At 44.7% G+C, this 27,397-nt stretch overlaps 1 long non-coding RNA gene and 2 pseudogenes across 1 annotated transcript; 2 read left to right on the top strand and 1 right to left on the bottom strand.

The window, feature by feature from the left end:
• Positions 1-5,048: 5,048 nt before the first annotated feature.
• On the top strand, positions 5,049-9,854 carry FAM95C (family with sequence similarity 95 member C). The gene is made up of 3 exons (NR_047651.1): positions 5,049-5,105; positions 5,783-8,109; positions 9,572-9,854. It is a non-coding gene; the product is annotated as a family with sequence similarity 95 member C (long non-coding RNA).
• Positions 7,852-8,107, top strand: CYP4F33P (cytochrome P450 family 4 subfamily F member 33, pseudogene; annotated as a pseudogene).
• Positions 21,607-23,759, bottom strand: FAM220BP (family with sequence similarity 220 member B, pseudogene; annotated as a pseudogene).

Here is a 27,397-nt window from a genome sequence, read left to right as displayed (position 1 = left end):
CCCTTTTGAATTCAGGGACTCATAGGCAGAAGAGAAGGTAGCCTTGTCTCAGATGAGACTTTGAAGTTTTTACATTTGGAATGAGTTAAGACTTCTGGAAAATTTTGAAAAGGCATGATTGTATTTTGCTCTGTGAGAAAAACATGAGATTCTGGGGTATCAGGGTCAGAATAATATGGTTTGGCTGTGTGTCCCTGTGAAACTCATGTGGAATTGTAATCCCAAATGCTGAAGGTGGGGCCTAGGGGAGGGGATTTAATCATGGATGGGAGGGAGTTGGGGGTGGAAGGAGAAAGGGTGGGTAGGGTGGGGAGGAATGGGTTGGCTGTAGGGTGATGGGAGGGTGGTGGGTAGTAGGAAGGGGGAGTAACCTGCTGCAGAGGCAGTGGTTCATGGAAAACCTCTACTAGGACAGTGCACCTGTGACTTTACAGGGTTTAGCCCCTGTGGCTGCTCTCATGGGGTGGGCTGGTGTTGACTACCCATACCTTTTTCAAACTGAGGCTGTGAGCTGTTGGTGGGTCTATGGATCTGGGGTCTGGAGGTTGGTGGCCATCTGCGTGGGGGCTCCAAGCCCATATTTTCCTTCCACATTTCCCTAGTAGAGGTTTTCCAAGAGGATCTGCCTCTGCATCAGGCTTCTGCCTGGAAACAGTGGGAGTTGGGGGTGGGGGGCAAATCCTTCACCAATGGTTAAACACCATCTTTTTGATGCTGACCTTGTGAGTTCTCATGAGATCTGCTTGTATAATAGGGCATGGCACCTCTTTCCTCTCTCTGTCTTTCTCCTACTCCTGCCACGTGAATCATCTCATTGCCCCTTGACATTCTGGTATGATTGGGAGGCTTCCTGAGTCCTCCCAGATTCAGAAGCCAGTATGTTTCCTTACAGCCTGCAGAATCATGAGGTTCTTTATGATCATAGAGAAAATTAGTACTGGGAAGTGGATGTATGAAATGTCTTCAAGGCCTTTTCCCTATTGTCTTGGGAGTCAGTACTCAGCTTCTTTTCATTCAAGTATCTGAGGGCTTCTTGAATTTTCTCCCTGAAAATGGACTTGTCTTCCTTTACCACATTGCCAGGCTGTGACAAAGATAGCTGATAATGTAGAAGCAGGTTCAGAAGGGGGTGGCAGACAGAGATCAGGAGAGTTTGGAGGGCTTCGAAGACAGGAAAATGAAGAAAAGTTTGGATCTTTGTAAAGAATTGTTAACTACTTGTGATCAGAAGGCTGACAGGAAAATGGCCAGTGAAAACCAGACTTGGAAGGTCTCAGATAAAAATGAGGAACTTCCTGGGAACAGAAGCCAAGGTTACTTTTATTTTGCTGTAGCAAAGAACATGGCTGCATGGTGACCCTGCCCTGGAGATCTGTGAAACTTTAAACTTGAGGTTGATGATGCAGTGCATATCTGGTGGAATGAACTTCTAGGAAGCAAAGCTCAAGAGGTGTCCTGTCTGCATTGAACAGCCTGTGCTCTGATGTGTGACTGAGAAAATGACCTCTGGATGGGACTTATATTAAATGAGTCCCAACTCTTATGTTAAATGAGAAACAGGACTCAAAAGTTTGGAAAATTTGCAGCCTGGCCAAGTGGTCAAAAAGAAAAGCTGATTTTCAGGGGGAAAATTCAGGAAGGCTTCAGAAACTTGCATGAAAAGGAGCCCAGTGCTAATAGCCAAGACAATAGGGAAAAGCCCTTGACGGCATTTCGGAGACCTTTGCAGCAGCCCTTGCTATCACAGGCCCTGGGCCCTAGGAGAGAAGCATGGTTTCCTGGGCCAGTCCTGTGACCCCGCTCTATGTGCAGCCTCAGGGCACTGCTGCCTGCGTCCCTGCAGCTCCAGCTCCAGCCATGGCTGAAAATGCACAGATGCAGCTTGGGTCACTGCTTCAGAGGGTGCAAGCTAGAAGCCTTGGTAACTTCCTCATAGTGTTAAGCCACTAGGTGGATGGATCATGAGACTAGAGGCTTGGGAGCCTTTTTGTAGACTTTGGAAGATGTATGGAAATGCCTGGGTGACCAGACAAAAGCATCCCAAAAATGCAGAGCCTCATAAGAAACTTCTACTAGGGCAGTGCAGAAGGAAAATATGGGGTTGGAGCCCCCACACTGGAGGCCACCGTCATGCAGACCCCAGATTCATAGACCCACCAACAGCTTGTACCATCAGTCAGGAAAAGCTGTAGGCACTCAACACCCGCCCAGTCCATGGGGGCAGCTGTGGGGCATAAACCCTGCAAAGCCACAGGTGCAGGGCTGCCCAAGGCCTTCAGAGCCCAGCCCTCATGTCCCTGTGCCCTGGATGTGGGACAACGTTTCAAAAAGGGTGATTTTGGAACTGTAGGATTGAATGACTGGCCTTCTGGGTTTGGAGTTTCATGGGGCCTGTAAGTCCTCTATGTGTTTTGCTCTTTCTGGCAAAATTTTTCCTTTCAGTTGAGAATGCTTACCCATTGCCTGCACAAGCATTGTAGCTTGGCAGCAGTTAACTTGCTTTATAGTTCAGAGGCTTATGTGCCTAAGGGACTGTATAGCCTTGTGTCAGATGAGACTTTAAGCTTTGGACATTTGTATAAATGCTGGAATGATACAAGATTTGGGGGGACTGTAGGGAAGGCATCATTGTATTTTGCAATGTGAGAAGGACATGAGATTTGGGAGCCAGGGACAGAATAATAAAGTTAAAGGTGGGGCCTGGTGGAGGGTGATTTAATCATGGTGGAGAGTGTGGGTTGGAAGGTGGGGGGTAGGGAGAATGAGGGGATTATGGTGGGGGTGAGGGGTGAAAAGTGGTGGTGGGAGGTGGATCCTTCACAAATGATTAAACACCATCTCCTTATTGCTGTGCTTATGCTAGTGAGTTCTCTTCGTGATTTTGGAGCTGTGAGATTGAATGGATACTGGCCTCCTGGGTTTTGGACTTGCATTGGGTGTGTGGTTCTATTTGTGGTTTTTTCCTGGGAAATTTCTTCCCTTTGAATTGAGAAAGCTTACCCAATGCCTGTACCATCATTGTACCCTGAAAGAAAAGAACATCCTTTTAAATTCAGGGACTCATAGGTGCAAGGGACTGTAGACTTGTCTCAGATGAGATGTTGAACTTTTTACATTTGAGTTAATGCTGGAATGAGTTAAGACTTTTGGAAACTTTTGACAAGGCATGAATGTATTTTGCTCTGTGAGAAGGACATGAGATTCTGGGGTACCAGGGTCAGAATAATATGGTTTGGCTGTGTTTCTTTACCAAAACTCCTGTGGAATGTACTCCTTAATGTTGGAGGTGGGGCCTGGTGGGAGGTGATGTAATCATGGCAGGAGGGGTTTGGGGTTGGAAGGAAAAGGGGTGGGTAGGGTGGGAAGTAGGTTGGCAGTAGGGTGGTGGGAGGGTGGTGGGTAGTAGGAAGGGGGAGTAGTCTGCTTCAGAGGCAGAGGCTCATGGGAAACCTCTGCTAGGGCAGTGCACCTGCAGCTTTGCAGGCTTCAGCCCCCATGTCTGCTCTCATGGGCTAGGCTGGTGTGGAGTGCCTGTAGCTTTTCCATACTGAGGATGTGAACTGTTGGTGGGCTTATGAATCTGGGGTCTGGAGGATGGTGACCTCCTGTGTCGGGGCTCCAAGCCCATGTTTCCCTTCTGCACTGCCATGGTAGAAGTTTCCCAAGAGGCTCTGCCTCTGCAGGAGGCTTCTGCCTGCAAACAGTGGGTGGTGGTGTGGGTGGTGTTTCCTTCACCAGTGGTTAATCTTCTTGATGCTGATCTCCTGATAGTGAGTTCTCATGAGATCTGGTTGTATAACAGGATGTGGCACCTCCTTTCTCTCTCTGTCTTGCTCCTACTCCTGCCATATGAAATATCTCATTGTCGCTTGTCCTTCTGGTATGGTTATGAGGGCCCTGATCAGTGTGGGCCTCATCAGTGGACCTAGTCAGCTGGGACTTGGTCAGTGAGGCCTATTTATTGGGGGGTGTGGTCAGCAGGGGTCTGCTTAGAGAGGGTCTCATTAGGGGGATCTAGTAGTGGGGTCTTGGTGAGTGGGGACCTAGTGGCAGCCACTTGTTTGGTGTCTGGTCAGTGTAAAACTAGGCTGCAGGACTTTGTCAATGGAGACCTGGTCAGCTGGGGCTTAGTGGTGGCCTTGTCAGCATGGGCCGGGTCACTGGTGACCAGCTCAAGGGGTGCTATTCATTGGAGGCCTGGTCACATGGGACCCAGTCAGCAGGGCCTGCTGGCCATGTCCTCATCAGTGAGGCCCTTGTCAGTGGGGCCCTGGTCAGCGCAGCCTGGTCAGTGGAACCTAATCAGTGGCGGCCTGTTCAGAGAGAGCGCATTCAGTGGTGGCTCTTGTAGCAGTGGTCTGTGGGGTGACCTGGTCAGCAGGGATCTGAGCAGTGGGTGCCTATTCAGTGGGGCCTACTCACTAGGGTCACAGTCAGGGGCATCTTGTCACCTATGGCCTGGTTAATAGGGGCCTGGTCAGTGGCAGCCTGTTCCCTGGAGGCCTGGTCAGTGGGGCCTCATCTATGGTGCCAGGCAATGGGGTCATGATCAGTGGAACCTGGTCAGTGAGGCCCTGGTCAGTAAGAACCTGGTCAGTGAGGCCCTGGTCAGTAAGGTCCTGGTCAGTGGGGTCCTGGACACTGTTGGCCTAGCAGCAAGGGCCTGGTTAGTGGGGCCTGGTCATGGGGTTCTAATCAGTGAGAGTGTGGTCAGGGAGGACCTGATGTGTGGGATATGGCCAGCAGGGACCTGGACCTGGTCAGCAGGGGCTGCTGAGCACTGCTGGGAGATGTCAGGTGCAATGCACGTTATTGAGGGCCCTGTGGACAGTTGGGATGGCCCAGTAGTGCCCAAAGACCCAGTCAAAACTGGACAAAGCAGGTGTTTCGATGGACCTGGGAGATCTTGCTCAGAGATTCCAACAGGACAAAGGGAAAGGAAGGGCCACAGTGGCCAGATAGATGGTCACAGTCTATGGGCTGCACAGGATGGAGGAAGCCAGGGAACAGGCAGGGTGGGCAGCAGGGTGCAGGGAGAGGCAGGTGCATGCTGGGAGGTCAGACCCTGTGAGGGCTGTGGGGGCATCAGGCGCAGTGGGCTCCAGGTGCACCCTCAATGCACTGGGCAGGTCTCAGGCCAGGCTCCCTGGACCCCGGCTGGGTGATGTGGTCACTCCCTGGGGGACTGCTGTCAGGCACCGGGCACCCACCATGGGCAGCACTGTCCCATCTCAGGACTGGACTTTCTCAGATCCTGCAGAGGGCACAGCCTCCAGCCCAGGAGGGGCAGCCCCATGGTGCAGCTGGAGCTCTCCATTGGCCTGGAGTGTCCCCTGCCAGCCCTGTACTCCCTCTTCTCCTGGGTCCCGCTTTTGCAGTGTCAGGAAGCAGAGGGGCTCCGTCCTCCCTTCCCTATGTGTCTCCTGGGCTGAAGCTTGCAGTGGACTGGGACAGGGATGGTGCTTCCCTCAGGCCCATTTAGGGAGGGGACTGGCTCCCAGCCTTGGCACAGGTCCTCAGCTCTGCCTTGGTTGCCTCAGAGTGAGCAGGATCAGTCAGTGCCCTGAAGGTAGAGCTAAGAGACTGTCCTTGCTGTGTGGGAGGCTGGTCTAGGGATGGAGGACTTAACGGGTCCTCCCAGTCTGTCAGGCCTGGACAGTACTGTCCTGTCTCAGACTGCAGAAATTCCAGTCCTGAGATAGGACGGTGCTGCCCAGGGTGGGTGGCCAGGGCCTGACAGCAGTCCCCCAGGGAGTGACCACATCACCCAGCCGGGGTCCAGGGAGCCTGGCCTGAGACCTGCCCAGTGCATTGAGGGTGCACCTGGAGCCCACTCCGCCTGATGCCCCCACAGCCCTCGCAGGGTCTGACCTCCCAGCATGCACCTGCCCCTCCCTGCACCCCAGATGTCCACCCTACCTGTTCCCTGACTTCCTCCATCCTGTCCAGCAGGATGGGCTGGACAGTGGGACAGCCTGTGTGCACATTTTGTGGCAAGTAGGAGTGACACACCATCCCTGGGAGGCACCATGGTTCCTGCCAAACCCAACCCCAGAACTCTGTCCCTGAGGTGGTTTTACCAAAACCCAAAACCCAGAATTGTGCTTGTGGCTCAGGGGTCAGCACCTGCTAGTACCAGGACACTACTGGGAGGCTGGGACCTGACCGAAGCCCATGGTGTCTGTGGCCTGAGGACAGGGTGTGTTGGGGCCATAAGTCCCGGCCACCAATGGCCATTGGGTCCTAGGGCCTCAGCCCCAGTGTTTGCCCTTCCCTGGCTCCTTCTGGTTCAGTCCCATTAGGGCCCTGGAGCCCAAGACCCAGCACCCAAGGTCCCCTCCAGGAATACTGGCGGCTTGGCTTCCTTTATCATGTTTCATCTGAGAGCAAAAATGTCAGATCGGATGCACAGAAAAATGGCCCAAATTGTTTAATAACTAGAAGAAATATAGGAGCAGCAAGAGGGTAATATGGAGAGGGGAGGGCCTCCATGACCGGTGTCTGCAGAGCCAGGGGTACAGGCACCCAGTGTTGTGGCCTGGCACCACCGGCCTCTCAGAGCGTGGGTGGCCCACTGTCTTTACCCGGAGGACAGCAGGCCTGATCACCAGCTTTTCTACCTGTCCCTGTAAGCATCACGTTGCTAGAAGAAAATCTCATGCCAGAGCTTGCACCATCCCTAGCTTGGGGGTTAGGGGTTGTCTCTTGGTGACCTAAATGAAAAAATAGGTCCAGATCAGAGTTCCTGACGCAGAGCACTCACCCACTCTTTGAATCGTGGGAGGGGAGGCCTGGTTTTAGTTAAACCTAACCTCTTTGAGGAACCACAGAGCCCAAGACTGGAAGCCTTCAGAATCTTCTGGCCCCCAACCCTCCCTGGGGACCCCTGTGGCCTGTCTCACCAGAGCACTCTTCTGTCTGTAGATGTCTCAGCTGCTCTACAAGGGAGTCCCATTTCAGGTGTGGGGCTGGGCATGGTCACTCCTGCTGGATGTCTAGAAGGTGGAAACTAAGGACCTAGGAAAATGCCAGATACAGCCTTTCCACCCTCATCCAGAGCAGGACAAACAGGCCCGGTGGTGTCAGGAGCCCAGGTCTCCAGCTGGAGGGAACGTCAACCCTGCAGTGGGAGCAGGGGCCCATCGCACATCCTAGGCACAGATGCTAATGCAGGCACTGCAGGTAAGCTGGGCTTGGTATCCTTCCCTGGCTTCAGAAAGAAGCCAACAAGGAGCGTTTTGCAGAATGAAACCTTTGTTTCCAGAAGCACTGCTGACTGTAAGTGGTTGCCGTTTGTGGCAGTGAGCATTTTGTCCATTCTGAGGTTGGATTGGTTTCTCCTTTTGGCCTTGCCCTGCCCTACAGACCATAAAGGAGAACAGCAAGAAGCCCCCAGCAAACATCCACATATGGCCCTGGACATCAGCCACATTCTGAGGAACATGTCATGTTCTGGGAGGGCTAAGGCATCAAGTAAGGCCTGTGGGGCTGGAGGATCCAAGGCAAGGTGGGGCAATCCAGAGCCATGGGGGCTTCCCATGGGAATTGGGAGGTCCCAAGGCAGAGTCAGAGGTTCCACAGGAGGAGTCAGAGAGTCACCAAGGGCTCTCCTGGCCCAGGGAGCAGTCAACACCATGGACTGAACACTTGCTGGGCTCCAACCCTTGGGCCAGGCTGCCCATGTGGGGCCAGGAGGCAGCTCAGAGTGGGAGGCAGAGAGAGAAGTGTGCTCAGAGGGCACCTGTATCTGGATGTAATGTGGTCCTGAGACTCTGGCTGGGAAGTGCTTCCAGGGTATCATATGTGTTATGCAGCTACTTCCTCTCCCCAGCCTTACCCTGTAGGAATTCTAGTGACTATGTTGCCACCATCTTGGAGCTCCATGCCCTCATAGTGTAATGGCACCAGCAGATCTGCCTGTGCACAGACTTCCTGTACTACCTCACTCCTGAGGGGAGATGCTTCTGCGGGCCTGCGACCTGGTGCTCAACTTTAGACACCATCATCCTGGAGCGGCACTGCACCCTCACTAGCCAGGGTGTTGACGTCCTCAAGGCCAAGGCCACATTCAAGACTTTGGACTTCATTGATGCACTTGTGCCGAGCAAGGTGGGCATCTCTGGGATCTTAATTCAGGAGGTAGAATGCAGCTTGAGATCAAGTGTCTGATCAAAGAACTTGAACTTGATCTGGAGGGCTCTGGGGAGCCATGGAAGGTTCTGGATAAAGGAGGGACAGTCAGCCACGTTTTAGAGATGACTGTGGAAGGCTTCCTGGAAGGAGTGAACAACAGCCAGGAGACCAGGGAGGGAGCTTGTCGGGCAGGTCTGGAGATGGCAAGGGAGGGATCCTGCTTGGATGAAAAGTCTTTAGGGACCATCTCAGGTTACTCTCAGGTGCCCTCTGAGTTAGTGTGTTCTAAGTAAGGGGTTCTAAGCCTCCTATTGTGGCTCATCCCTGACAGTGTCAGCACCAGCTAGCTCCCCTAACCCCACAGCTCAGGGTCCACTTTGCTTCTGCATCCTGCATGTTCCTTTTCCTGCTGAAAAGCAGATTCCCCAGCGAGCAGCAGAATCCTGTTTCTCCCTGTAGGCCCCTCTGCTCCTTATGAGTGGTGTTTTGTGGGATTCCTCCCTTGGTTTTGGATGAGAACACCCTTTCCCATTCCACAGGGATTGTTTCTGTGGACCTTATCCCAGGTTTTCCCCTGGTCGGGCACCGGGCAGGTGGGGGTGGTGGGACCAACTTTTTAGAACCAGCAATGCCAAACAGATCCCACTCAGGGAAAGTCCATGCTAAGTGTCATGGGTCCTATGGAATTTTCTGAAGCTTTCCTTTTCTCCCCCACCTTCAACCAGCTTATCTGATCTTCTGGGATCTCTACTAGGATGCTGGCAGCCCAGCCAGCTGGTCTGGCCCTGGACGTGCCTTCAGGGGCTGGGTATGCTTCATGACCTGTGTTTTGGTGAGTGGTAAGCAGCACCTGCTTCTAGCTTCACTGTTGGGCCAGATTTCATCCCCACCGTGGCTCTTCATTGCGGCTGCTTTCTGCTCCCTCCATGGACCCTGCGTGGAATTGCCCCATGTTTCTGTTTGGGCACCACTGAGGAAGGAAGCATGAAGGACGCACAGGTCAGGCCATTCTGTTGCCCACCTCGTGCTGGGTCTTTACTCCTGGGATGGCTTCAGGGGCAGCTCCTTTTCCATGCCTCCCCCCACCCAACATCTCTCAGGTTGCTGCTCAAAGGTCACCTCTTGGAGGGGTCTCTCCCTGTCACTGTGTTTGGAACAGCTCCCTCAGTTTCTTTCTAGCTCATCTCACTCTGGTAATGTCTTTCATTACCACCACCATCTGACCTGGTCTTACGACCTGTTAGCTTCCTTCATCAGACAAGAGCACCAGGATGGCAGGGGCCTCATCTGTCCTGTTCCTCCTGTGGCCTGGGTCCTAGCACCATGTCTGGTACAGTGTAGGTGCTCAAGGGAAGTTTACTTTATAGAACTGTCTACCTGGGAGAGGTTACTGTTAGTCTAAGCTGCACTATTTGGTAAACCCCTTGCTGTTTTGCAGATCCTGGTTGGAGTAAAACATTCCATGGGAACTCGGGCTGTGAGAAATGTCCTAACCACCTGACTGCAGAAACATCCTTATCACATCCTGCTGGGCAAAGGCCCAACAGCCTGACTTCAGGAACATCCTTATCATCTTCTACTGAGCAGCAAGCTATACTGTCCAGAGCCCTCCCTCCCAGCGCTATGATTACCCCAGCCTGTGAGCGGCAGTGGGCACTGACACTAAGCTGGTTTCCCCCTCCGCAGGGTTTTGCTAGTAATAAACCTGTGTTGCTGTTGAAGCGGCCAGTCTCTCTCTGTGTGTGTGTGTGTGTGTGTGTGTGTGTGTGTGTGTGTGTGTGTGTGTGTGTGTTTCTTTAACTCTTGCCTTGCCTTCAAATCCTTACAATAACTCCACTTCTCCATTTTACCATGGAGGATACGGGACTCAAGGAGAGCAAGTAACTTACCCAGAATTACACAGCCAGTGAGTCACAGAGTCTGAACTTGAACTCAGTTCAGCTGAATCCAGAACTCCCATCTTCCTGAGAGTGCAGGAAAGGAAAGGTGGATATGCAGCTGGTGAGCAGCCCACATGCTTTTTCTAGGAGACCCCAAGGTGGGCTCCTGGGAATTATGTCTTCATGGTCACAAAAGAAGGACTGCTCACCTGCGCTGTGCATCAGCTAAGTGTCCCCATTGTCCCAAATCTGCATTTCTTTTTATTATTTTACTTATTTATTTTATTTTGAGATAATGTCTCACTCTGTTCCCCAGGCTGGAATGCAGTGGTGTGATCTCAGCTCATTGCAACCTCCACCTCCTGGGTTCAAGCTATTCTCCTGCCTCAGCCCCTGAGTAGCTGGGACTACAGATGTATGCCCAGCTAATTTTTGTACTGTTAGTAGAGATGGACTTTTACCATGTTGGCCTGGCTAGTCTTGAACTCCTGACCTCAAATGATCCACCCACCTCAGCCTCCCAAAGTGCTGGGATTACAGGCATGAGCCACTGTGCCAAGCCTCAAATCCTCACTTCTTTTCAAAGGTTTTTTTTTTTTTTTTTTTGAGATGAAGTCTCACTTTTGTCACCCAGGCTGGAGTGCAATGGTGCGATCTTGGCTCACTGCAACCTCCACCTTCTGGGTTCAAGCAATAGTAGGAAATCCTACTATTTGTGACAATGTGGATGAACGTGGAAGACACGCTAAGTGAAATAAATAAGCCACACAGAAAGATAAATATTAAATGATCTCACTTATACATGGAATCTGAAAAAGTCGAACTCACGGAAACCAAAAGCAGAAGAGTGGTTACCAGCAGTCTGAGGGTGAGGAAAATGGACAGATGTTGGGGTACAAATTTTTACATGTAAAATGAGTAACTTTCTGGAAACCTAATGTAGAACATAGAGACTCTAGTTAATGTATACTTGAAATATGCTGAGAGAGTAGATCTTAAATATTCTCACCACAAAAACTCAGGAGGCTGAGGCAGGAGAATCGCATGAACCTGGGAAGCAGAGGTTGCAGTCAGCCAAGATTGCACCACTGCACTCCCAGCCTGCGTGACAGAGTGAGACTCCGTCTCAAAAAAAAAAAAAAAATGCTATGTATGTTGAAGGGAATGTTAATTAGCTTGGTTGTGGTAATCATTTCACAACGTATACACATATCAAAATATATTGTACACCTTAAAGACATAATTTTTGTCAATTATATCTCAATGAAGCTAACCAAAAAAAAAAACTGCATCCCAGCCTTGGGCAGTGGTAGACAATGGATTCAATGGTTAATAGGATGATATGGCTGGGAATGACTCTCAGAAACATGAGGACTTGGTTGGATGGCTAACCATCCCAAGTTAACCTCGTAAAGAGGAAGGCAAGAGACCTAGAGCCAGATCCCAGAGTTAAAATCCCAATCCAAAGCAAAGTCTTATGGCAAAACATTGGTTGATATCATCTTTCTTTCTTTCTTTCTTTCTTTCTTTCTTTCTTTCTTTCTTTCTTTCTTTCTTTCTTTCTTTCCTTCCTTCCTTCCTTCCTTCCTTCCTTCCTTTCTTTCTTTCTTTCTTTTTTTTTTTTTTTGAGACAGAGTCTCGCTCTGTCACCCAGGCTGGAGTACAATGGAGCCATCTCAGCTCACTGCAAGCTCTGCCTCCTGGGTTCATGCCATTCTCCTCCTGCCTCAGCCTCCCGAGTAGCTGGGACTACAGGCACCCACTACCATGCCCAGCTAATTTTTTGTATTTTTGGTAGAGACGGGGTTTCACCGTATTAGCTAGGATGGTCTCCATCTCCTGACCTCATGATCCGCCCGCCTCGGCCTCCCTAAGTGCTGGGATTACAGGCATCAGCCACTGCACCCGGCCGATATCATCTTTCTAGAGCCAACGACAAAAGCAGCACTTATTTCCTGTACCATGAATTTGTGGGATGATTCAGACCAAATTCCTCAGCCCTCTTCAGGACATTTTGGCTAACTGAGGTCTTCTTGTCATGTTGGAGAAAGGGAGCAAGATGGGGATTCTGCATAACTCAAGCCCCAACATGTGGGGACAGACTCAAGTAGATCACCACTGAGGCTTTTTGTGGTAATGTGGATACTGGGAAGCCTGAGGAAGGCTGTGGCCACAAACAGGCTCATTGAATTTACCCCTTGAAATCTGCACAGAACTTGGACAGCTCACTCCCCGATGAGCCATCACATTTATACCTGCAGCTATGACCTTTCTCTTGAGCCTCAGACCCTTATATCCTCCTGAGCACTGGTTATTTCTACTTTGATATTTAAAAGACCCCTGAAAACTAACTCCTCTCAAACTAACTGTTCATGTGGACAATTGACGTGTCAGAACCAAACCTTAGACTTCTCCAAACTTACTGTCCCTCAGTACCCCTTTGCTGTGAAAGCAACATCATCCTGACAGGTGTTCAGAATACAGCTTTGTGGTATTTCTTGACTTATTCCCCTGTTGCCTCTTCTCCATCCCATCAGCAAAGCCTCTATCCCTACCTTCAGGATATGCCTGTGTCTTACCACTTCTTTGCCTTCATCTGTTCTTGACACCATCACTTCTTGACAGGATGACTGTGGCTGCCTACTAACAATATTCCTTCTCCTGTCCTTGCACCCAGTCTGTGCTCCAGTCAGCACCAGAATAACCTCCCAGGTCACTCCTCAGCTCAAAACCCCAATATATTTCCACTCATCAGAGTAGAAGCCAAAATATGCCCATCACCCATGAAGTCCAGGCTGAGCTGGCCACTGGTTATCTCTCTGATCTAACTCCAGAGCTGGGCCTTCACTCACTCTGCTGCAGTCTAAAAGGTTACCTTGCTGCTCCTTGAATACATGAAGATGCACCTGCCCCAGGGCTTGGCATTTGCTCTTCCCTCTGCTTTGAATTGCTACCCCTGATACCCAAATGATGGTCTCTCTTCTGTTCCAATCTCTGCTGAAATGTCACCTTGTCAATGATGTCTCCCCAGATCACTTGTAGTGATCATCCATTAGGAACAGTGTTGACACCCACCCCCAAACCACCCCCTACCAACTTCCTGCCCCATTTCTCTTGCAGCTCTCATTATCATTTGGCATGCCAAATACCATCCTTATTTGTGTATTTCTCTCCTTCATCGCTAGATTGTAAGTTTCATGAGGGCAGGATTTGTTTCCACTTTGTTGCTGCTTTATCTCCAATGACTTTTAGAGAGTAAGCACACAGTAAATGCCTGTTAAAAGAATGATTGAATTGCATGAGGACAAAGAAACTTTTATTTTACTGTCATAATGCCATGACTTCCTGAAAATCTCCATGTGGATCTCTATGTCAGCTTTTTACTGCCTCTACTTAATTTTCTCCAAGACCTTCCTTGGAAATATCTGTAGGCTTAGGAAGTTTTAGTAGTAAATAGTGGAGTAAATAAATAAATAAATAAAATAAAATAAAATAAGTTATGAAATATACCTAGCAGCCATGAAACCTCAACTTATAAAATGCAGAGAAGACCAGATACGTAACACTCTCACCTGTTGGAGGTGGCTGAGGAGTTGGTCTTTGTGTGGCCTAAATCAGAACTCAGATGGCAAAAGTGACTAGCTCAAATCTCAGGGTAGTGGAATCTGCAAGAAGCAGTGAGTATGGCTTGTGAAAAATGTACCAAGCTACAGAACCAGGGATGCCAGCGGAAAGAGGTTTTTGATTAAAAAATGCAATAGAATGCTGAGGCCTCTAGAAGAGGCAGGAGTGAATCTCCTAGGGAAATTAAGACATTAATAACAGCTGTCTATGTGGGGTATTTGGAAAAATAGCACACACATAGGCCCATGGAAGGTTTATGTCCAAAAGACCTTAAATCTTTACACTAGAGTGATTAACAAAGGTCTTCCTCTGCGCAGAGCCATTCTTCAAAGATTGGGAGAGGTGGCCATTTAATCCAAATTGCAGTTTTCAACAAAAACTTACAAGGCATGTAAGGAAATAGGAAAACATGCATAGCCCATTCAAAGGAAGAAAATGAATATCCAGACTCATCTTTGAAAAAACACAGGTCTCAGACTTACTAGATCAAGATTTCAAAGCAGCTGTCTTAAATATGCTTAAAGGGCTAAAGGAAAACACAGACAAGGAAGTAAAGGAAATCAGGAAAACAATATATAAACAAATAAGAATATCAACAAAGAGATTGGAATTGTAAAGAGAACCAAATAGAAACTCTGGAGCTGAAAAATAGAGTAACCTAATAGAAAAATTGACTAGAAGGATACAAAAGCAGACTTGAAAAGGCAGAAGAAGGAATTAGCAAACGTGAAGATAAGTCCATTGAAACTATCAAGTTAAGGAGCAAAAGAAAAGAGTGAGGAAAAGTAAACAGAGCCTAAGAGACTATGGGACACCATATACCAAACACATATACATTATAGAAGGCCCCAGACAAAAGAAAGAGAAAAGGGCGGAAAAATTATTTGAAGATGTAGTGGCCAAAAACCTCACAAATTGGAGGAAAGATGTAAATATACAAATCCAAAAAGTTCTGTGAATCCATGTTGGTTAAACCCAAAGTTACCCATAGTACATTCATGCATAATTATGTAGGATTTGAAGATTAAACATTTTAAATACCTTTTATAATAGCATCCAAAATCATAGGGATACATTTAACAAAAGTGTGTAAGAAAACTAATGAAAACTAAAACTTTGCTGAGAAAAACAAAACTACTGTTAACAGATGACTTCTTTCCAAATATATCTATAGATGCAATGGAATACCATTCCAAATTCTAGTTGGTTGTTAAAAATAGAAACTAACAAGCTGATTTAAAAATATATATGGAAATTCAATCTAGAATATATAAGATATATATGGAAAAGCAACCTAGAATAGCCCAAAGAATTTTGAAAATGAAGAAATTTAGAGGACTTAAACTACCTGACTTCAAGATTTAGAATAAACTCACAGTCTTCAAGATTATAATGTAGTGGTGAAGACAACACAATAAATCAATAAAAAAGATTCCAGGAATAAACGCATGTATATATGGTCAAATGATTTTTTCAACAAAAACCCAAAAGCAATTCAATACGAAAAGAAAACAATTTTTTTCAAAAAATGATGTGGAAACAAGTAGATATCCATATGAGGGGGAAACAAACCTCAACTCTTACTTCACACCCTATATAAAAATTATTCCAAAAGGGATCACAGGCCTACTCATAAATAAAGTAAAACTAGAAAGCTTTTAGAAGAAAAACTAGGAGAATATCTTTATGACTTTGGGGGTGGACATAAATTTGTTAAGGAATTGACAGAAAGCACTGGCCACATTGTTTTGAAAAATTTGAGTTCATTAAAATTTAAATCTTCTGACCATCAAAAGACATTCTTAAGAAACAGGCAAATCTCAGACTGACAGAAAATATTCATATGTATCTGTCAAGGGACTTATGTTAAGAATATATTTTCTAAAAGTTGCTACAATTCAATAATAAAAAGACTAACATCCAAATTTTAAAATGCACAAAAGCTTTGAACTGACAATTTACAAAATAAGATATATGGCAGATCAGCACATTAAAAGATGCCCAGCGTCATTAATCATCAAGGAAGTGCAGATCAAAATTGCCCCCTGACACGAATACAGACCTACCAGAATTGCTAAAATGAAAAAGGCTAATCATTGCTAATGCAACAGCACCTCTCATACATTACTGTATGGTGTAAAATGATACAACCATTTTGGAAGACTGTTTGCAAGTTTCTTAAAACATTTATACATACCTCTTCCTTTTCACCACAGCATCTACAGAAATGCAAACACATGTCCACAAAAAGCCTTGCGCAAAAGTGTTTACAGCAGCCCCAAACTAGAAGCAACCCAAATGTCCATCTACTGGGAAGTAAATAACCAAACTGTAGTACATGCATGCAACTGTCTTCTCCTTCCAGGCTAAGTTCTTTGCTTTTAAGGGCTTCTGGGATTAGATTGGACCCACCCAGATAATTCCAGATAATCTTACTTTCAGTCCCACAAACACCACCATCCCCTGTACCACCCCAGCCCTCCTGCTCTTCAGAGCTCAGCGCACAGGGTTCATTTCCTCTGGGATGACCTTCTCTGCTAAGTCAGTTTATACAGGGTTCCCTTCTTGTGCAGAGCTAGGCCAGCTTCCCACGTTCCAGGGCAGACTCACTTTGAGCAGGCTGTGTGTGTGTGTGTGTGTGTGTGTGTGTGTGTGTGTGTGTTCCTGGCTTTCTGCTATAAATTGAAGATCGTGCAGGGCAGGGACTATGTCTTTTTCTTCTTTTTGCCCTCCACTTAGTCCCTGACACAGTCCAGCTTAGTGGAGAAGCATGCGATCTGTAGAATCAGATGGAACCATGTGAGGTTTGGGACCACAAGTGGATACACAAAACAGGAATCCTCTCTAATAAGGATACCCTTGAGCCAAGCGCTGGGTAAGTGAGGAAGGCACAGCCACAGGGGAATCTGGGAAAGGCTCTGCAAGTGCACAGGCCCTGGGGCCCGCATGTGCTGAGTGTGAGAAAGAGCAATAGGCCAGGATGGCTAATGAGAGTGAGGGAGGGGCCCGCGTTAGGAGGCAGTGGGGACAGATGGTGTTGACCCTTTTGCTCATGTAAGGGCTTGGGTCCATGTTATGAGTGAACCGGGATGCCATTGGCAGATTTGAGTGGAGGAGTCACACGATCTGACTTTTGTCTAACAGGAACATCTCCTGAAGCGCTGAGAATAGATTGAACAGCCAAAGCGTGGAGGTCAGGGCAGAGGTGACTCTATGTGCAGCAGCCTCCCCTCATCACTGGAGTCTTCAGTATTGTTTGTGCAGGAAATGTAGGATCACTGCTTGATTCTTTTCCTTCATTTACCAATTGTCATAGCAATCAGTTGGTTCCCTAGCATCCACCAAAGGAAACAAATGGGGCTTTTTTTTTTAGACAGACAGGGTCTGGCTCTGTCGCCCAGGCTGGAGTGCAGTGGCACAATTACCGCTTACTGCAGCCTCGAAGTTTTGGGCTCAAATTATCCTCCCACCTCAGCCAAGTAGCTGGTATTACAGGCATGTGCCACCATGCCCAGCTGACTTTTTTATTTTTTCTAGAGTCAAAGTCTCACCATGTTGCCCAGTCTGGTCTCAAACTCCTGGCCTCAAGCAATCCTCCAGCCTTGGCCTCCCAAAGTGCTGGGATTACAGGTGCGAGCCACCACATCCTGCTTAATGAGCATTCTTAATATTATTATAAAGTCTTGAGTTTTTCAAATATTTGATATGTTTCAAAACATTCCAGTTATTATTTTATAGCTCAAATTATCCCATATTTGGCCAATGAGAGCCTCTTCATGTTGGCGTCTGGACCCTTTACACGTGTGCCCAGTAGTCCCTGATGGCTCCTTGGCATCTGTTATAACAAGATGCTCCAGGCTCATCTGGTACATTTCCTGCACCAGGTAGGGAACAAGCCATTTCTCTAAGGATCCCTAGTTCCTTTTAGGTGGAAGTGACATTTAGAGTCCACAATGTAGACAACAGGAGTGCTTGTTGCTTCTAGATTTTTGTTTCCTGGAATATTCAGTGGATAGAGGTAGAACATATGTATTGTTAAATTTTAATTTTGAGATACTTGTAGATTCACAAATAATTTTAAGATATTATTTACACAGATCTGCATTCCATTTACTCAGTTTCTCCCAACAATAATATCTTGCAAAGCTATATTGCAATATCACAACCAGGATATTAGCATTGATGCAGTCAAGACGCATTACCTTCACTGCAAAAGCCCCCTCAAGTTTTCCTTTTCTAGCTACACCCACCTCCCTCCTGCCCCCAGTCCCTCCTTCATCTCTGACAACCACTGAATCTATTCTCCATTTCTATAGTTTTGTCATGTCAAGAATGTTATATCAACAGAATTATGCATTCTGTAGCCTTTCAGCATTGGCTTTTTTCACTCTGTAATTCTCTGAAGATTCATCCAGGATGTTGTGCATATCAATAGTGTATTCCTTTTTATTGCTGAAGAGTATTCTGTGCTATGGATGTACCACAGACTGTTTAATCATTCACGAACTGAAGGACATGTAGGTTGTTTCCAGTTGGGGCCACTACGAATAAACTTGCTCTAAACATTTATGTGCAGGTTTTTGTGTAAACCCAAGTCTTCATTTCTCTGGGACAAATGCCCAAGGATGCAGTTGCTGAGTTGTATGGCACTGCCAGTGTCATTTTTTTTAATTGCCAAACTTTTTGCCAGAGTGGCTGTACCATTTTACATTCCCATTAACAGTAAATAAGGGGAAGAATTTCCCTTCATCCTCACTAGCATTTGGAGTTGTCACTATTTTTTATTTAACCATTGTCATATGTGTATAGTAATAGCTCATCATAATTTTAATTTTTATTTTCATAATAGCAAATGATGTTAAATGTCCTTCCTTGTGCTTATTTGACATCCATCTGTGCTTTTTGGTGAAATGCGTGTTCATATCATTTGCCCATTTTCTGTTTGTTTATTTTACTATTGAGTTTTGAGAGTTCTTTATGTAATTTAGATACTAATCCTTTGTCTATTGTATGCTTTCAAAACATTTTGTCCTAGTTGGTAGTTTGTTTTTTCATACTCTTAGCAAGGTCATTCACAGAACAAAATTTTTTTCTTTAATTTTGATAGCATCTGGTTTATCAATTTTTACTTTTATTGATGATGCTTTTGTTGTAAAGTTTAAAATATTCTTTGCCTGGCCCTAGGTCCTGAAGGGTTTTAATGTATTTTTCTAAAAGATTTGTAGTTTTACATGTAAGTCCATGGTCTATTTTGAATTAATTCATGTATGGAGTGTTAGGTTCATGTCACCATTCAACTTTGCTTATGGATATGCAAATTCTCCAGCAATATTTGTTGAAAAAATTCCTTTCCCCACACTGCATTACTTTTATGCTTTTGTCAATAACCTGTCAGTTATATTTATGTGGGTATGAGTTCTCTGTTCTGTTTAATTTGTCTGTGTATCTTTCACTCTACCAATACCACGTGCTGTTGATTACAATAGCTACACAACAAGTCTTGTAATGGGATAGATTGATTCTTCCAACTTGGTAATTCTTTTTCAAAAATGTTTTAGCTATTTTAGTTCCCTTGCATCTCCATGACAATTTTAAAATAATCTTCTATTCATCTACAAAAAAATATTGCTGAAATTTTTATAGGAATTGTATATATGAGTTTGGGAAGAATTAACATCTTTGCTATTTTGAGTCTCCAAATTGAAGAACATGATTTGTCTCGATATTTGTTTAGATCTTTGATTTCTTTCATCAGAATTTCTAATGTTTAGCATTCAAGTCTTATGAATGTTTTGTTAGAATTTGAAATGAGTATTTCCTTTTTTGAGCAATTATAAATGGTACTTATTGTATTTTTAATTTTTATATCCAAGTGTTCATCACTCAAAGTACACTTGATTTTTTTGTATATTTATGTTGTATCCTGCAACCTTGCTGAATTCACTTACTAGTTCTAGGAGTTGTTGATTTTGGTGGTTTAAAATAGATTTCTTTGGATTTTCCACATAGCCATCATGCTATCGGCAAAAGTGAGCAGTTTTATTTCTTCCTTTCCGATCAATATGCCTTTTTTTAAATGCTTTACTAAACTGGCTAAAACTTCCAGTGCGATATTGAATTAGAGTAGTAAGAGCAGATATCTTTGCTTTATTCCCTTTCTTAGGAGAAAAACATTCTTTCTTTGACCATTAAGTATAATGTTAAGTGTTGGAGTTTTTGTAAAAGTTCTTTATCAAATTAAGGAAGTTTCTCTCTATTCTTATTTTTCTCAGAGTTTTTTTTTTTTTTTTTTGTCAGACAGTCTCACTCTGTCACCCAGGCTGGAGTGCAGTGGCTCAATCTCAGCTCAATGCAACCTCCATCTCCCAAGTGCAAGTGATTCTCATGCCTCAGCCTCCCAAGTAGCTGGCATGCATCACCACACCTGGCTAATTTTTTCGTATTTTTAGTAGAGACAGGGTATCGCCATGTTGGCCAGGCAGGTCTCAAACTCCTGGCCTCATGTGATCCACCCACCTCACCTCCCAAAGTGCTCGGATTACAGGTGTGAGCCACCCCACCTGGCATTTCTCAGAGTTTTTATCATGCATTTTGTCAAATGATTTTTCTGCATCAATTGATACGATTATGTGATTCTCTTCTTCATCTTGTTAATATGGTAGGTTACATTGATTTTCACATATGGAACAAGCCTTGCTTTCCAGGAATAAACCCTACTTGCTCATAGTATATAATTCTTTTTACATATTGCTTAATTCTGTGTCTATATTTATGAGGGATATTGGTCTGTAGTTCCTGTTTTGTTTTGTTTTTCAACTGTCTTTGTTTTTGGTATCAAGGTAATACTAGCTTTTAAAAATGAGTTGAGAGAAAGAGAAGGTGGGATTTGGGGGGAAAAGGTTGCAGACTTTTTGACTCAGGTCATTGTGGGCTTAGTCTCTATTGAGTGGCTGGGTTACTACAGGAAGCCACTCTCCATTCTTAGGCACATCTTGTCTATAAAAGGAGAAAGTTCAATGCCTCTAGAAAACCTCAGGTTTATTTTACTGCTTAAAGCCTGTGGCTCTAAATTCAGATCCAGAACTCATGTGGCCTGGCCAGGGAGGGTCAAGGAGTGCTTTCCTTACACCTCATGCCTCTAGGCTCTGTAGACCTAGAGGTGTGGGATGTAAGAGCAGGCCCTTACCCATAGAATTTACATATAAATGGTGGAATAAGACAGTAAGTAAATAAATGTGATTATTCTGATAGTGGTAAAAATAATAAATAAATAAATAAATAAATAAATAAATAAATAAATAAAATAACTTGAGAAATATCCCCTTGTATTTCTTTTTTCTGGAAGAGGTTATATAGAATTGGTATTTATTATTCTTTAAGCTTTGGGCAGAATTTTCCAGTGAAACCATCTGAGCCTGGAGATCTTATGTGGGGCTCTTTGCATTATTTGTTTTATATTGATAAGTTGTGGTAGTTTATGCTTTTCAAGAAAGTGGTCTATTTCATTTAAGTTGACAAACGTATGTGTTTAGAGTTGTTTGTAGTATTCATTTATTATCCTTTCAACATCTACAAGGTCTTTAGTGATACCTTCTGTTTCATGCCTAATATTTATAATCTATAATTCTCTCCTTTTTGCTTTGTCACTCTTGCTAGATGTTTGTGAATTTTATAGATCTTTTTAAAGAACCAGCTCTTTGTTTCATTGGTTTTCTTTATTGTTTTTCTGTTTTAAATTTTATTGATTTCTGCTATTGTAGTCATTATTTCCTTCCTTCTAATTTTGAGTGGGTTTTTTCTCTTATTTTCTATGTACTTCAAGTGGGAGCTTAAATTATTGGCTTGATAATTATCTCATCATCTAATTTATGCATTTAGTTCTATGAATTTCTCTCTCAGCCCTGCTTTATACATGCCCACAAATGTTGATGTGTTGCATTTTCATTGTCATTCAGTTCATTGTATTTTTAATAAGACATATTTATTACGCTAAAGAACAAATTTTATTTTTCATTTTCCCCAAACACTAAAATAGCACATGGCATAGTAATTCAGCACACAACATAAACTGGTATATGCAATCACTAATCCCGAAAATGGTTAAGTCTCACTTTGGGAGTCTTTAAAACCTTATGCCCTTAAATGACCTTTATCAAAGTTATCAACAGACAACCAAAGGAGTCACCTGGAAAAACTTTAGGGTACAAGATACTGCAATTCCTAGAATCTGGGAAACTTTTTATGTGGGAAATAACTTGATTTGCTTCTCTGTAACTGAGCTATTTTTTTCTCTAGCTCATTTTTAAGGTAACACTGCTAGGGTTCCGAGTTTGAGAAGGGATCTTCTAAAGGTAAGTTTAATATTGCAACTTTCACCACAATGCCTCTGTCTAAATTGCATTTCAAGTGGAAGGAAAGAGGTGTGAGAAGTGAAATAGAATTTTGCTGCAGACCAAAATCATTCTACAAAATGTAGAAATGATAATAGCTTACCATGAATTCAGCAAGATTTAACGCCAAGTACAGCAGTGTAGACTTCACAAGTATCCACTTCCATTGGGTGATCAGACAAGCCGAAGGGACACACAGGATTTGGGACAGTAGCCCTTTAGACAGTGTTGGGTGTTGAAGACAGAACTTCATGGTAAATCCGTATGTTCTAATCTGATATTTATACAGGCTATGATCGTCTCCTGAAATGTTTCCCAATTTTTTATATGTCTTTTAAAGCACAATTTAACACATGCTAAAAAATTTCCTTCCGCATCAACCGGCTTTGAATTCAAACTCAACTAAGTCTGCCAGGTCGTACAAACCACACCAGGAACCTAAGGGCTGCATAGTTTGCATCCAGACTTAATGCGAAAGAAATCATTCTAAGACAACTCTTAAAATTAATCTACTTGCATTGTTCTGCTTGTACTTTAAACTATGGCATAATGAATTTGCTAATTCAAAATGTTGCAGCGCCAGTAACCCCAGTGTTATCTGCAGACCATCTGAGGTGCTTTTAAACATTTTCTTGAATTCTATTGTTTGCTTTGAAAACATGGGGTTTAAAAGGTCAAGGAAAATGCGTTTCGTCTCATCTTTCAGGAGCACTTCGGGGCACGCGTGCAGTGTTGCAGACAGGATGGAATGCAGGCAAGAGGGTTCCAACTCAGAGCCCAGACCACTGGGAAAAGCACTTGGTGGGTCATCCCAAAAACTTCCCATTTCCGGCAGTTTTTGATGGCGTGTCAGTCGTGACACCCGAGGCTCTCCTTTGGGGCACTGTCCTCTGTGGCCGTGGGTGGCCCTGGGCCCTCCTCCCAGCCAGTCCCGCCCCAGAGCTTCAACACCACTGCAGGACACCCGAGCAAAATACTCTGTTGGAGCAGGGAACAAACCCACGGCTGCGCTCGGAGTAGCTGCTGAGGCTGGATTTCTTCTTGCTGATTCTTTCACATATGGAAGAACTGGGCCGCCACTGGGAAGCGAGAGGCCAGCCATTTCCAGTGATAATGCCTCACTCTGTGAATTTCCATCAACCGCAGGCTTATTCATCCAGGAGGGTGCATCTGCAGGCCAAGGGCCCTCCGTCGGCATTCTTTTCTTAAGGCTGTATGATAGTTTGTCCGAGTCACCTCCTCCGGCCCACTGTACTTGAGCCAGGCAGGTGCCAAGGGGCCCTCTTCTGTCCCTCATGCTTCGTGTTTTTGGATGCGGTGGGCCTGAGGTCACGCCTTCGTCAGTCCGGGAGGGCCTTCAGTGGATCTCAATATGAACCTGCAGGCGGACGTTGAGCATCATGGAAGCCACCATGTAGAGGTAGGGGAAGTTGATGCGCAGCCGCCAGGCCAGATCGAAGAAGACAGCAGCTTGCGAGTCAGCCCCTTGCAGAAGACCCCACGGGGGCGGGCGGCGGCCGAGCCCTAGAGCCGGACAGCCAGGCCCGACAGATCCGCCGCCATATAGAGCACCCACCACCTCTCCGCGCCGCGTCGCTGCGGCCACTGGCCTTCGCTTGGCGGGCGCAAGAAGCGAGGGAGGCGGCTGCTAGACCGGCGGGCGGGCGGGCTGCGGGAGCGGAGTCCGCGCGTCATGCTCAGAGAAGCGCCTCCGCGAGCCGCCGCCTGGTTCATACCTTCTTATTTTTTCTGCATTTCTGGTTTTTGAAAAATTTTATACAAAAAGCATTCAACAAACAACAGTCAAAATGATTGTGATTGTATCCAGCCTCTATCATTTTACATTCTATGTGATTTTAAGGAATAGTCTTAAGCACCCTGAGTTTCATTTCCTTGATCCTTAAAGGGGTTTATATCTACTTCATTGGGTGTATGAGAACTGACATCCTATTATGTATAAAATGCTGAAAACAATTCCCAGCACTGAACAAAATTTGCAAGCTAATATATCATCGTCATCATCAACAATAACAAAAAATAATAGCAACATAATATACTATTATAGCTCATTACACCATGTCCCTATTTTGTGTGTTGCCTATTATTTTCATCAAAATAGAATTATCAAGTTATTTTAAGTCATTATTTGTGCTTCTGATTATTTCTTGGAATATTAAAAAACAATTTGGGGGATTGTCTTAGTCCATTTCTGCTGCCAAAACGAAATACCACAGACCGGGCAATTTATAAACAATAGAAATTGATTTCTCATGGTTCTAAAGGCTGGGACGTCCAAGATCAAGGTACCAACAGGACTGATGTCTGGTGAGGGCTGTTCTCTGTTTCCAAGATGGTGCCTTTTTGCTCCATCCTCCAGAGGAGCATAACACTGTGTCCTCACATGGTGGAAAGGATGGAACGGGACAAACTCACCCTTTCAAGTCTTTTTATAAAGGCCCAAAACCCATCCATGAGGGCTCCACCCTCATGACTTAATCACTCCCTGAAGGCCCAACTTCTTAATTCTATCACATCGGCAATTACATTTTAGTACTTGAATTTGGGGGATCAGCGGGTATAAAACACTTTAAGAATATTGAAGCCTGTAGCCAAGTTGCACTCCACAACAAGTGAATCACCAATAGTAAAAGAAAAAAGTATAATTTTATTGCTATATTTTTACAACAGCAGATTTGTAAATTAAAATGTTACCTCGCCAATTTGATAGGCATAAAGTGTTACAAAATGTTCTCATTTCAACATGACATTGCAAGTAATTTCATATATTCCTCATTTTTTATTTCTGTGAATCCTGTCTTTAGCCATTGATTTATAAACGGTCCATGTAATAATTTAACCTTGTATTTCTCATGTATTTTTAAATATTTTTCTAGTTTTTTTTTTTTTTAAACTATGCTGTGCTATGCATGAAGAATTTCTAATTATTTTAATTTAATTCATTTAATTTTTCTTTTTTTTTTTAATTTGAGAGAGTCTTACTCTGTTTCCCAGGCTGGAGTGCAGTGGCACGATCTCAGCTCACTGCAACCTCTGCCTCCCAGGTTCAAGCGATTCTTCTGCCTCAGCCTCAAGAGTAGCTGGGATTACAGAAGTGCACCACCACGCCTGGTTAATTTTTGTATTTTTAGTGGAGACCAGGTTTCACCATGTTGATCAGGCTGGTCTCGAACTCCTGGCCTCAAGTGATCCGCCTGACTCAGCCTCCCAAAGTGCTGGGATTATAGGCGTGAGCCACCACGCGTGGCCTCTTTCTTTCCTTTTTTGATTTGCTTAAGAAATCCTAAGACCTCTCAAAAAACATGAAATTTCTATTATAACATAATTAATTGTCCAGCTGTTTAGAACTTATTTTGTTTGTGTGTAAAAATTGTCAAACAACTTTATAGCCTCCAAATAATTACCTAGTTTCCACAACACCGTTCAGTAAATTATTCTAAATTTTCCACCAAATTTATAGCATCAAATTATCAGGTACTTTATTTTTATTTATAATATAATGATTTTCTTTTCTCTGTGTTCTATTTCTTTTATTTATCAGGTTATTTCTATGCTCGTAACTTAATTATTTATCTTTTTTATTACTACATGAAATGCATTGCATATACGAAAGTTCATGAATGAACTTTTCATCTTTTCATGATGAACTTTTCCAACATAACTTATTGATTATACTTTCCTATTTATTACTCTAAATGAATTTCAGAATATCTTTTTTATAACATATTTGTTCCTTGATTACAATTCTATCAATAAATTGAATTTGTAACATTTAGCAGCTTTTGAATACTTAATTCTTTTTCCCATCACCCTCATATTTTTTCTAGGATTTTAAAGTTTTCTTTATGTCATTTCCTAAGTTCATGGGTTCTTTTATCTGGTTTATATGTATTTCTCTCTGTTTCTAAAACATCATAGTTGCATTCCTATTTGGGTAGAATCCTTCCTCTGAATATTCCCTAATCATTAGCATGAACACTTCTTCCCTACTTTTTTGTTCCTCAGTTATGGGAGTGCCTGTTGTGCTTTGATCTTTGAAGGAGCATTTTATTTATTTTTATGTTATTTTTTATTGTTTTTTATTTTTTTGAGACGGAGTCTTGCTCTATTGCCCAGGCTGGAGTTCAGTGGCTCAATCTCAGCTCACTGCAGCCTCCACCTTCCGGGTTCAAGCAATTCTCCTGCCTTAGCCTCCTGAGTAGCTGAGATTACAGGTGTGTGCCACCACACTTGGCTAATTTTTGTATTTTTAGTAGAGACAGGGTTTCAACCATGTTGGCCAGGCTGGTCTCGAACTCCTGGCGTCAAGTGATCCACCCACCTCGGTCTCCCAAAGTGCTAGGATTACAGACGTGAGCCACCACACCCCGCCTGAAGGAGCATTTTAAATTTCAGTGAAGGTCTCTGAATTGGGGAGAATGAAAACACACAGAGGTTTGGGATGAAAGTGGGCATGATGGGGAAGCAGAGGGGCTTTCCCCCTAGTGTGTTTCTCTTCTCTGTGGAGAGCGATGAAAACAAGAGGGACATGAGGGGTGGCAACTGGAAGACTCTTCACTGCTAGATTTGCCACAAATGGCTGCAGAAACTTTCCTCGTTATCCATAAATTTCAGTTTTTTCATTCGTAAATGTTAATGCTGGGAACAGATCATCTCTTAGGTTCCATTTAGAGCCCATAGAGCCCAATGGTGAAGGGCCTGGTCCCAGGAGGCATGCTGAGCAGAGGCTGATCCTGTGCTGAGCAGATGCCGACACTGTGCCTTTCAGGTTACTCCAGGTGGGTCAGTGGGAAAACTTCACTTCATTGACAGGGCCTTAATTGTTGGGACCTTGTCAGACACCCCTTTGCAGACAGTGTCACTGAGACTGCAGTTGCGATGATAATGACAGCTGGTGTGGGGAGGTCAGTTCCAGGATCCTTCCCTATATCTGGGGACCTTCTCTGTTATTCCCCTCCAGGCCCCTGCTCTCAAAGGCTCTGTGTGTGTGAGGAGGCGGCTGCAGAACAGCAGACTTCCCTTTGGTAAGAGCCTCCCCTTTCCAAGTCTCTGTGCGTGAGGAATGCACAAAACAGGGACGTGCTCCAGTGAATTATAACAGTGTATTAAGTTACTGTTATTTTGTGGTTGTTGAGGATCATGATGGTATATTAGCTAACATGTCTTAGCCAGACACGCTCTTTGGCATTTTATGTATATAGTACTATATCAATTCTCACACATCTATTACAGTAGCTGTAATTATAGTCCCCCTCTTAAAGATAAAGAAAATGAAATTCTGATTCAGAATATTGCTTGAAGTCTACAGTGGGTAAGTAACAGAGCCTGGTTATAATCCTAGTGAATTTGAGT

Source organism: Homo sapiens, chromosome 9 (assembly GCF_000001405.40).
Source record: "Homo sapiens chromosome 9, GRCh38.p14 Primary Assembly".
In the NCBI taxonomy this organism is placed as follows: Eukaryota; Metazoa; Chordata; class Mammalia; order Primates; family Hominidae; genus Homo; species Homo sapiens.
This window is presented reverse-complemented; position numbering and strand designations above follow the sequence as displayed.